This window comes from Homo sapiens, chromosome 22 (assembly GCF_000001405.40).
Source record: "Homo sapiens chromosome 22, GRCh38.p14 Primary Assembly".
In the NCBI taxonomy this organism is placed as follows: Eukaryota; Metazoa; Chordata; class Mammalia; order Primates; family Hominidae; genus Homo; species Homo sapiens.
In genome coordinates this window covers 47065299-47078009 of record NC_000022.11, presented here as the reverse complement: position 1 = coordinate 47078009, position 12711 = coordinate 47065299, and the positions used below count along the sequence as shown (strand labels likewise).

Below are 12711 nucleotides of genomic sequence, written 5' to 3'. Positions count from 1 at the left end.
TGCTGCTGGGCAAGGCAAGGCAACACTGAGACAACCATTCCAGGAAGGAGCGCAAATTAGGAGAGCAGAAAAAGAAAACCGTGAGGTACTGAGTACAGACTGTGGGCCAAGTTCTGTGCAAATCCTTTTAACCTTTTCAAATCATGGCGCACAGGCATTCCTATCCCATTTTAAAAATGAAGACACAGGTTCAGGAAAATAAGCCACAAAATGAGCTTTATCCCAGAAAGCCTTCTCTGACCCCTCAGACTAAGCCCAATGGCCCTGCTCACTGATCCCATGGTCCCCGTGCTTCTGCCACCGCAGCCTTCGGTGCTCTGCAGTGCGACTGCCTCTTCACTTGTCTCACTCCCCACCAGAGTGTGAGCACCTCATTGCTGGGCTCCTTACAACAGCTCCAGGCACATAGAAAGAGCACCATAAATACTCAATGTGCAACTAAAGGTCACCGGGCATAGAGCCGGAACTTGAACACAGACCTTTCAGACCCCCCAGCAGAACCGAAGCAATAAGAAACCACTTCCAATAGGGCGGGAGGGCTTGCTACCAGGCCTTGGGGAAAGATAAGTACTGCAGACAACTCTGGAGCCACAGCAACCTGGGATCACAGGTTAAAGGGACAAACTGCCCTTAGCCACAAGTAAGTCACATCCCAAGCCAGAACTCACATACTGGTGAAGACTGAGTCATCAGAAAGAGTCCACACTCACCAGGGAAAGAGGAAAAGATGTCTAGGCAGAGGAGATAGTATGTACAAGAGTAGTGAATGCACACAGAGAGTTGGGGAATGGCCAGTGGAATGATGTGGCCAAGTCTGCCAGCTTCCGACCAAATACTCTTTCTCCCCTTCTTCTTCAATAAGAGAATCCACAATTTTTAGCTGAGCCATTGGCACCAGGAACAAGTGGTCATGTGCCCAGTCTCCTTTTCAGCTAAGAACAGCCATGTGATTACATTTTGCCAATAATACGCAGGCAGAAGTACAGGCAATACTCAGGATGCATCCTTCAGTGAAGAAGGCATGATGCCCTTCTTTACCACTTCCTCTTTCCTGCTAGCTGGGATACTGACATGACGGCTGGAACTCAAGCTGCCCTTATGGACTATGAGGTAGCACATTAAGAGGATCAGAGCATCAAGATGTGTGCCACCAATGATCTCACAGTCCCACAGATGTCTACCTCTACACTCTTGTCACAGGGAGATGATATTCTTTTTTAACTGTTTTTTGTTGCTGTTGCTGTTGCTGTTGTTGTTTGTTTTCCCCCACCTGTTACATGCAGTCAAAGCAAACGAACTATCACAAATGCGGAGACCAATAATGGAGGTCAGGGAGGAGAACAAACAAGAAAAATGGGAGGGAGAACAAGTGGAAGGAAATGCAGGAGATAAACCAGTCCTCACATAGTTTCCCTGGCCTGCAGAACTCCAATCTGCCAGATTTATTTAATAAATACCTAATCACCTACCAAAACACTGTTCAATTATTTAAAAAGTGCATTTTAAAATGTCCAAATGCAGGGGATTTGGTATTGTTGTTCTCTTTGTATTACTGGTTTCTATTTTAAATGCACCATGGGAAAACATATATATATATATATGTGTGTGTGTGTGTGTGTGTGTGTGTGTATATATATATATATATATACACACACATATATATATATACACACACACACACATATACATATATATACATCAGTCCCAATTTGCTGGAATTTGTTGAGAATTGCTATGGCCTTCCATGTGCTCAATTTTTACAAATGCTTCACGTTATTCTCTGTTTTCCGGTGCAGACTTCTATATACAACCGTTCAATTAAGCTTGTTTTTGTACTGTTGTAATCTTCTATGCCTTCTCACTTTTTGTTTGTTGGCTTATCAACTAATGAGAAAGGTAAGATAAAATCTACCACAATGATTACAGATTTGTCAATCTGTCCTTGTAATTCTGGCAACATTTACCTAATATACCGTAAGGCCAAGCTTCTTAGGTGCATATACGTTCAGAACTGCCATATATCCCTAGTGACTTATTTATTTTATCATCCTGTAGAGATCTCCTAACACTAATACATTTTGGCTTAAAATCAATTTTGTCTGATATCAGTGTAGCTATTGCAACTTTCTTTAGTCATGATTTTCCTATTGTATTTCTTTCCATTTATAAAATTCAAAACTTTCTGTGTCCATATGTGTGTGTGTGTGTGTGTCAATCATGAATACCACATAGTTGGATTTTAGTTTTCAAAAATCACTGTCTTTTAACTGGCAAATTTAGGCCATTTACATTTATTTAAATAACTATCTCAATATTTATTTAAAATATCTTATTCATGATTTTTACTTTTACTGCTTTTTAAAAATATTTCTTCTCCTTTTATGCCTTCTATTGTATTGATCAAGGTTTTCTTCCTCTCTCTTTTTCCCTCTACTAATTTAGAAGTTGTATATTATATTTCTACTCATTTATAGTGGTCACCCTTTAACACTGAGGGATGGGATTTTGCTATATGCCCAGGACGGTCTTGAACTCCTGGCCTCAAGCAATCCTACCACTTCAGCCTCCCAAGATGCTGGGATTACAGGCATGGGCCCCCTCACCTGGCTGAAAGTCTGTTTTTGATGCTCTATCAGCATCTCTGGGAGTTCTCAGGATCATGTGATATATGATATTGAAAGCTCAGCACCCTACAAAGCCTCCCCCAACACACACAAGAAGCAAAGCAGGGATCTATGTCCCCACAAACTCCCAGTTTAGTACTTTGGTTCTCTTTTTTTTTTTTTTGAGACGGAATCTCGCTCTGTCGCCCAGGCTGGACTGCAGTGGTGTGATCTCGTCTCACTGCAAGCTCCGCCTCCCTGGTTCACGCCATTCTCCTGCCTCAGCCTACCGAGCAGCTGGGACTACAGGCGCCCGCCAACATGCGTGGCTAATTTTTTGTATTTTTAGTAGAGACAGGGTTTCACTGTGCTAGCCAGGATGGTCTCAATCTCCTGACCTCGTGATCTGCCTGCCTTGGCCTCCCAAAGTGGTGGGATTACAGGCGTGAGCCACCGCACCTGGCCCTTTGGTTCTCTATTACACCCCTTTGTTCAATCTGATTAACCCAGGAGGTCTGGGCCTAACCCAGAGTAGATGCTCACAAGAACACTGATGAATGAGGCTGGATGAAAAGGACCCTCGCAGCCAGGCTGCGGTGTGCAGACTTGATCTGTTGGCCAATGGAGGTGCCAGTGAAGAGGACTGGGCAGGAAGGCGGTAGGATGGCTCTCAGGATGACATGGAGCATCTGTCCCTCACAGAACCGACAGAACAGAATTCAGACAGTGCCACTTCCAGGTCCCCGAGGGGGTGGCTATCAAAAAGCACTCCAAAAGATTTCACATGAAAATGTACAAAGAAGGGATATTAGATTGTATGCATCTAATTTTCTAAACCTGCCAAAGAAGTAAATTATTCACTTCAGTGGATGTAGCTGAGGATCAATGAGAGACGCCTTTCCTAAATAAGCCTATTTCTCTCCAGAGAAAAAGTTTTGAAGTTGCCTGGGATGGGTTAAGACAGAATTAACAAAGTGCCTGCTTCCAGCACCTCCTCAGTTGTCATGGTGACATTTCCAAGTGGAAATCATTGATACCGAGCAGTCCTTTCCCCTTAATAGATGTGTTGACACACATTAGGGAAAACAAGGGAGTCTGCAGAGGCCAATGTGGGCGATCTCAGCTAGCAGCTCCATCGGTCTCCATTTAAGCCATAACCTGGCTTGGATTCCTAGCCTGGGAGGCGCTCCGGATTAGGACACGCATCGTCCACATCATTGCTTCATTGCCTTGGAGTAAAAACAAGAGTCAGGATGTTAAGTCTGAATTATATACTTTGTGGGGTGTTTTGTTTTGCTTTTGAGACTGGGTCTCACTGTCACCCAGGCTAGAGTACAGTGGTGCGATCATAGCTCACTGCAGCCTCAACCTCCGGGGCCCGACTGATCCTCCCGAGTAGCTGAGACCAGAGGTGTATGCCACCATACTCAGCTAATTTTTGTAGAGAGATCAGGTCTTGCTATGTTGCCCAGGCTGGTCTCAAACTCCTAGACTCAAGTGATCTGCCCTCCTCGACCTTCCAAAGTGCTGAGATTACAGGTGTGTGCTAATGTGCCCAGCCTGAATCATAGTCTTTTAATACTATCTTTTTTAGAAAGCTCCCATGGGGTGGTGTCTTTAAGGCCTACTAAGGAACAAAGGGCTGTTTGCCCATGTATTAACGACACGCAGACTTCTGTAGAAAATGAGTGTCTGGTGCGATTTTTAAATCTGTTTTCCTCCCTGCTGCCTGCCCTGGGGTCTGGCTGTCAGGCCTTGTTTCTGCTACCATCACTGTCGGAGTGGGGAAGTCCTAGACCCAGCAATCAGAGCCCTTGTGGTTTTATGTGTTTTTTTAAATTTTTATTTCTAATGATTATGGGTACACACAATCATTGTATATATTTATGAGGCTTCATGGTTTTTCCCCGCAGCCTCAGCATGCTGGCAGAGCTCTGTGGAAGGCACCCTGAAGAGGCATCCACACGGGGCCTTCTGATATCAATTGTGGGGTTCAGTCTCCCTCTGCAGTGTTCCAAACAGGGAAGGCTGCTCACCCAATTCTAGAAAGGCAGAGTGTTACTATGTTAATGAAACCGCCAGCGGCACAAAATAGACTCTGTGCTTCAGTATCTGGAATAACAATAGTTGCTTTCTACAGCCTGGAACAACATTACGTGGATATGGTTTCCACAAAGTACACGATTTCCTCTTTCCTCGTGAGTTTTCTGGGTCATGTCTATTTCTTCGCCAAGTCTGTACTTCTGCTTCAACAGTTAGAAGAGTCTTTCAGTACCATTTTTCCTGGAATAATTTGTTATCCATCATTTTTATGGCAGTATTAAATTTTAAGAGGGAATTGAGAGGGATAGAAAATCTATTGCATATTCCAGCCCCAAAAGAAAGCCTTTAATAAATTTAGGACTTTTCAGTTTTACATTCAAATCTGACCCCAGAACCAAAAAGCTGCCCAGAGCTATCCATCCTTCATATAGGAGTGTGGGGCCGGTCACCCTCCCTTGTCTGCAGCTGGGCAAGAGGCTCCATGCGGGCCCTCCCAGCAGACAGGCAGGGCAGGTCTGATGAACAAGACCATGACATGTATGGCCAAGAGGCACAGCCTCGATGGCCAGAGGGCAGGTTCTGTCTCCACCCACACACAGGCCTGGCGGGTATTCACAAGTGTGCCCGACAGGACACCAAGTAAATCGGATCGGGGTGCCATGTGCTCACCACATACCTATCCAGCTCTTAGCAGGCTGCCAGCATGCTAGGCCCCCTGCACAGGGTGTGGGATGTAGAGCCAGGTCAGGCACCTTCCTGGGTGCCTGCAACAGTGGCCCTGGGAAATGGCAGGGGTGCTAACAGGGGTGTGGCCAAGTGCATAAGGCATGGAGAGACAGAAGCCCCTGCATCTGAAACATACCAGGCAAGCTCTCAGGGGAAGGCCACTCCACGGATGGGACTGGGAACTCCACTTCTGCCAAATGCAGGCCCAGGCACTGCACTGCTGCAAAGCCAAGGAGGCTGCGACCAGAAGCACGACAGGCACATTGTAAGAATCACACAATTGCTTGGTGCTGGAGAGATGGTGAATGAGGCAGAGTGGCCCCAAAGGAGAAGCTGTGGCCTGGACGAGTGGGGACTGAGCTTCAGTCCCAATTCTGCCACCTGCCAGCTGGGCAGCTCCACATCCTCCACCGGCCTGCACCCCAGGAGGGCAGCCTCTCCAGGCTCTGCCCCACTCCTCTTTTTCCTCCTAATTCCCAAAGAAGCCCACCAGCGTCCTGGCCATGCCTCTGCCTCGGGGGCCTCACCTTTCCGAGCACACTCGGAGGGCTGCTAGAGAAAACCGCATCTGAGTATTCATGACAAATGAAACCACCTTAGAAACATGAAGTTTTCTAGAATAACACTCGTAAAGACCAAGGGAACACAGGCCTGTTTCCAGCATTAAGCCATGTGTGTTATCTGCAATATAAAAAGGCAGGGGGTCTCAGGAGAGGCCATGACTGAGCCCAGCCAAACACACCACACGTTTTATCATCACAACCCAGGGAGAGGCACAATCAGAAACTGTCTCTCCACTCCGAGAATAACAAGATTGATGTCTGCATCATATTGACTCTCAGGACTCAGAAATTCAAATGAGGAAATAACTTTCATTTATTAGGACTGGCTCATTTCTTTTCCTCTTTCCCAGAACCGCAACAAACCACAGCCATAAAGCATTAGCAAGGGTTTCTGGATTGACAGATCAAACCAGAGGATGATTAATGGACAGAGTCTTGTTTAAAAGGAAAGAATGGAAGTAGCAGGGCTGGATCCTTTCCCGCCGGCCCCGAGTGAAGGGCTTCCCGTTGTAACTTTGATTGTGAAAGCAAAGAGCCTAAAAGCGGGAGCCCACCCCAGAGTGGGGCCGACTCAGGAAGACTGAAAGGGCTTGTGCTGCTGCAGAAGCTCAGTGGCTCAGGTGGCTGGGAGGGCAGAGTGGGGAGAGAGGGGCCTGCACTTCCACCAAAAAGCAACTGAGGACGGGCAGGGAGCAGCCAAGAGTCACTCCCACTGGAAGGTCTGACTGCCCCAGGCACAAAACCTCTTTTCCTTGGCCACAGCAGCACAGGCTGTAAGGCGGGTATCTGGCCATACTCTGTGCAAGCTCCTGGGAGGCTTAAACAAGCTAACAGGTGCAGACTGTGGATGACAGTGATAGGCGCATGTGGGCTCTTAATACGTGGAAATTACTGTGGTTTTATTTGTTCTCCAAAGGTATGGGAGGTTGGTTACTAAAATTACTTTTCAGTTGCTCATTAAAAAGAAATAAGCACAGGTATGGGGTAAAATATTTCCAGCCAGGCCTATCACTTTAAGTTCAATAATCTTATGAAATGTTTATACTCTTAGGTTCACAGAAATGGAATTATTGGGCCATTTAAGTATATTCAAAATAACAGGGAAACAGAAACAACTTACACGAACAGCGCCGGGACCGTCAGGTCAGCTCCGCTCCAACCAAACAACAGGGAACAGCCTGGAACCGTCAGGTCAGCCCCGCTCCAGCCAAACAACAGGGAACAGCCTGGAACCGTCAGGTCAGCCCCGCTCCAGCCAAACAACAGGGAACAGCCTGGAACCGTCAGGTCAGCCCCGCTCCAGCCAAACAACAGGGAACAGCCTGGAACCGTCAGGTCAGCCCCGCTCCAGCCAAACAACAGGGAACAGCCTGGAACCGTCAGGTCAGCCCCGCTCCAGCCAAACAACAGGGAACAGCCTGGAACCGTCAGGTCAGCCCCGCTCCAGCCAAACAACAGGGGACAGCCTGGAACCGTCAGGTCAGCTCCGCTCCAACCAAACAACAGGGGACAGCGTCCAACCAAACAACAGGGAACAGCCTGGAACAGTCAGGTCAGCTCCGCTCCAACCAAACAACAGGGAACAGCCTGGAACCGTCAGGTCAGCTCCGCTCCAACCAAACAACAGGGGACAGCGTCCAACCAAACAACAGGGAACAACCTGGAACCGTCAGGTCAGCTCCGCTCCAACCAAACAACAGGGAACAGCCAGGACCGTCAGGTCAGCCCCGCTCCAACCAAACAACAGGGAACAGCCTGGAACCATCAAGTCAGCTCCGCTCCAACCAAACAACAGGGGACAGCGTCCAACCAAACAACAGGGAACAGCCTGGAACCGTCAGGTCAGCTCCGCTCCAACCAAACAACAGGGGACAGCGTCCAACCAAACAACAGGGAACAGCCAGGACCGTCAGGTCAGCCCTGCTCCAACCAAACAACAGGGAACAGTCTCGAACCATCAAGTCAGCTCCGCTCCAACCAAACAACAGGGGACAGCGTCCAACCAAACAACAGGGAACAGCCTGGAACCATCAGGTCAGCTCCGCTCCAACCAAACAACAGGGGACAGCGCTGGGACCGTCAGGTCAGCTCCGCTCCAACCAAACAGGGGACAGCGCTGGGACCGTCAGGTCAGCTCTGCTCCAACCAAACAACAGGGGACAGCGCTGGAACCGTCAAGTCAGCTCCGCTCCAACCAAACAACAGGGAACAGCCTGGAACCGTCAGGTCAGCCCCGCTCCAACCAAACAACAGGGAACAGCCGGGAACCGTCAAGTCAGCTCTGCTCCAACCAAACAATAGGGAACAGCCAGGACCGTCAGGTCAGCTCCGCTCCAACCAAACAACCGGGAACAGCCAGGACCGTCAGGTCAGCCCCGCTCCAACCAAACAACAGGGAACAGCCGGGAACCGTCAAGTCAGCTCCACTCCATCCAAACAGGGAACAGCGTCCAACCAAACAACAGGGAACAGCCTGGAACCGTCAGGTCAGCTCCGCTCCATCCAAACAACAGGGTTTTGCTCCAGCAAGGACAGAGACATGCAATTCAGATGCACTTGCACCATGCCAAGACTCACGTTCGTCCATCCTGACATATGCAACACTGAGGCTAGGGCCGAGGCCTCACCGAGAGGACACAGCAGTGGAAGCACGTTCCGTTAAGATTCCGCCACTCCCAAGAGCCATGGAGCCAGCACTCAGTCTGAACTCTGGGAGGTACGACGTTCCATCTGCACCACTCACACTAAAACGAAGTTGGGTTTTGAGATTGTTTGGATCATGTTTGCAACAAAAATATATGTGAACCTGCAGATTCTTTGCTATACATTTTTCAGTTTGGTCTACGTGTGCCAGATCTCACTTGGAAATTGAGTCAAATGAATTCCTCTAAAAACTTGCTTTTGCAAACTTTTGTGGTATTATTAGATTTTGCAATAGAAGTTATTTTAACAATGTACAATATAATTAGCCACTTAATGTTATTAAGAAAATTTATGAGCCATTGTGGGTTGAAAAACAGCCCCAAGTGATATTTATTAACTATCCAGGACTAAAAATAGGACCCTACTGCCTCAGTGAGCCACATTTAAAAAAACGTAGAGTCACAAATAATATGTCTAATTACGTATTAAACTAATTCTCGCCTTCACCTTTTGAATTTCTAAACTCCTTACCTCATGTATCATTTTAATTATTTTTCCAGTTCATTCCCAGGGAAACTGGCTGATGGGGAATTAATTAATGGGTCCAATAAAGAGGCTGCCAGCATTGTTCTACCACAATCTGCACCCTGGCCTCATTTGCATGTCTCCTTTTATTCTAAACAATAGCACTGCTGAGATTTCGGCGTGAAATTGTTAGCTCATTTAAAAGGACACAATCATATCCATTTCCACAGATATTCATCAATTATCACATTTTACTGCAACATGAATCCATGAATAGAGCAACCACTAGAGTTTCTGGCCCCAGGGTTTTAGAGAAATTACAGGTATTTAAATATCATATGGCATATTCCACTTGATGAGATGATTTTGGATTATTTCAGGTCCACAGAAAGAACTTATATGAAAAGCAGGTGCTCTGTGGTGCTGCAAGTCGTAACATCAAAGTCCCCACCAGAAGAGCTATCTTCATCTTCTGACGTCTCACATCCTGTGGGACTGACACACGGACTTCAGAGAAAGAAACATGACTTCCTTTGGTGACACCGGCTCTCCTGATGGCCTTTGGTAACACTGGCTCTCCTGATGGCTAGCAGTGTCAAGGATGCCTGCTTTCTACCCAATGATGCCGGCAGAGAGGGAGGGAAGAGCCCTGGGGGCAACGGCTCCTCTCCCCTCGACAGTGGTGCCATGGATGGGTGGCTACCCCAGTCAAGGGTCCGGCCAGAGTGGAGACTTCTGCCCACAAGGTCTCTGCTGCTGGTTTGCCAAAGAAGAAAACAAGCCAGGTGACTAGACACTGCCCGTGGCCAGACAGGGGAGCCCCTCTCCCCAGCTCTCCCTGCCGAGCGCTTTCGCGGACTCTGGTGGAGGTATGTCTACTCCCTGACCCCTCTCAATGGAAGGCTCCTCCAGAGCAGGGGATGGTGCTTGTCAGTCTGTTATGTCCAGCATGCAGAACTAGAACACATGGAGTCCGAATGTTCAGAGGCACTCAAAGCATCGTGCATGAACAGGTGGTCGACAGACAGACAAGTGTGTGTTCCAGAGGCCTTCAGGCACCTGAAGAGGGCCATTCAGCTGGGAAAGTGCTGAGCAAAGCACAGTTCTGTGAGTGCACGTATGCAAGCGCAAGTGTGTGTGTGTGCACGCACACTCGTGGTCTTAATCTGTTTCAAGTTATTAAATACATGACGATGGTCCCTTCCTGAGGCTGTGGCATCCATCCCCAGGCATCTCTGCCTGTTCTGATCCCTGACACCACCTCCCACCATGATGAACCCGAAACAACAGGACAGCCTGGGGCAGACACGCCCAGCCACTCTGAGCAGGCATCTTTGGAGCCGGCGCCTTTACTCACTGTGCACTGATCAGAAGGGAATTCTCTGTGGATGTACAAGGAGCATCGTTGCAAAGGGTGGAAGGCCCACCTCTGTCCTTTTATATGCTAATGCCCATCTCTTTGTGCACCCTGGCTTTTCTCCTGAGCAGTCGCCCCTTCATTACCGGGATGAATAGAGGTGGCAGGATTTATTAAACTATAAACAATGCCTGAAAGAGCTTGTGCTGGAATTTACAATGGTTCTCTTCTGCCTCTAAAGGCCTGGAAGAAGAGACAGAGTGGTTAAAATGGGGGCTTTTCTTGAGACAGAGTCTCACTCTGTTGCCCAGGCTGGAGTGCAGTGGCACCATCTCGGCTCACTGCAACCTCCACCTCCCGGGTTCAAGTGATTCTCGTGCCTCAGCCTCCTGAGTAGCTGGGTTTATAGGCACGTGCCACCACACTCTGCTAATTTTTGTATTTTTAGTAGAGATAGGGTTTTACCATGTTGGCCAGGGTGGTCTCAAACTCCTGACCTCAAATGATCCGCCCGTCTCAGCCTCCCAAAGTGCTGGGATTACAGGCGTGAGCCACCGCGCCTGGCCAAAATGAGTTTTTTTAAAAGGACTGGTATCGGGCAAACCAAGCCAGGTACAGGCAACAGAGTCTGTGGGGAGTCAAACCCTTTTAATAGGCACGGCCCATTCGAGACAGGATTTGCAGTGACCTATCCAGACACCAGTGTTAGAGCTGCATTAAAATACAGATGTGGAATGGGCCAAGGGAGGAGAGCAGAGGTACAGGTATGCCAGGGGGTCGAGCAAAGTTCATGGGGGACCTAGGGTTTCCCCGATGCCCAAGGTAGATGAGTTTCAAAGAGGCTGGCTGCCTGGGCAAGTGCTGCCTCCCGAGCTGCTGCGTGCCAAGGTACAGGGAACTGTGGGACAGAGCTGGCCAGCACTCTGTTAACGCTGTGCTTTGCCTTCCACGGGAATACCTTATAGTGGACACACAGCCAGGCTGTGCTTCCCAGCCTCCCTCCGCACACGCTTGGTCCCTCACCAAGGGATGCAAACAGAGGGACAGGTGCCCTCAAGAGGAGCGTCTCTTCGCGGGGCTGAGCCATGATATACTGTGCACCCTTGGGCAGCCAAAGCTTGGCCCTCCCTCCCTCCCGACCTCCCCTGACTCGAGCATCCCCTCATGTGCCCTCTAGTCCCGCACGTACGTCCCGGCACACGCCACCAGCATTCCGAGGAACCCCCCTCGTGGGTGCCACCCACTTCAGGATTCAGGCAGCACCACATCCTCCTGCGTGAGCACCAGGTGGCTTTGCCATTGTTTGTGTGAATTTTAAGATGCATTTCCTTTTCAACAAAACCAGCTTTTTAAGAAACGCCTGTGAGCTGTACCCATATGCCTTGGTTTATCTAGTCCCCAGCAGCTTAGTTCCCAAAATGCTGTTGGCATGTTGCAATGCAAAGTGTTTTGATGACATCAATCACCTTCCCTAACGATCCTCGATAAATGTGTTTCTTTCCACCAGCTTGTTTAATACAAGTCTTTATCTCCCATGACGCACAGGGTGGCGTGACTCAGAGGAGGGCTCTTTTCCTGGATCTACATGTCCAGTTGTCTGCTAGGCATGGGTCCAGTGTGCCCAAGGTCCACTCACTCAGTGTATTCCCAGGGGGACACTGCATTTCTCCCGATCCTCCTTCCTTCCCACCCCACGCACAGCTGGACACAGGGGGAACTGAGGAACTCAGAGCAGGATTCACGACGTGGCCAAGGAACCCGCATCTCCTCACCTGAAGTCACTCACTTGAAACAAAACACAACACTAAAAACCAGCTGCTTCTAGACCTTAGAACTTTGCAGCTTCCTCAAGTCAGATGGGGAAACTGAGGATGTGACTCACGCAGGTCTCCCTCAATCCAACCCAGTCCCAACTCCGAGGCCTGCTAAGTCCTCGTGGAGACCCACAGCAAAAACACAATGAAATCTTCACTAATACTTGTTTCTTAACTCTCCCCCAAGGGCAGGCAGGGGAGGGGCAGGGAGCCAGGCCTGCCCCCCAACAGAAGCAGGTCCAGGAGTGTCCAGCCACAGGGGAGGCTGGCAGGAGGGTCGTGAGCCCTGCCCCGTGGAGAAAGGCTACCACCTGCACAGAGCCCACCTGTGAGACTGAACTCTCGGAACTTCGCTTTTCACTAATGTTAGTGAGGAACCAAAAAGAACTAAAAAATAACCTTAATTTATAATTGAGATTCCTCTTGCTTAAAAAAGC

At 48.8% G+C, this 12711-nt stretch overlaps 1 protein-coding gene across 12 annotated transcripts in view, besides 1 other annotated feature; it reads right to left on the bottom strand.

Annotated features, from left to right (window-relative positions):
* The window catches only part of TBC1D22A (TBC1 domain family member 22A), a 413050-nt gene that overhangs the window by 97690 nt on the left and 302649 nt on the right, over positions 1-12711 (bottom strand).
* Positions 10905-11405: an enhancer, noted in NCBI's record as "H3K4me1 hESC enhancer chr22:47462501-47463001 (GRCh37/hg19 assembly coordinates)". NCBI's record gives its function as "activates a minimal SCP1, AML or CMV promoter by ChIP-STARR-seq in naive H9 embryonic stem cells {active_cell/tissue: H9 hESC(naive)}" and the evidence as "EXISTENCE:reporter gene assay evidence [ECO:0000049][PMID:30033119]".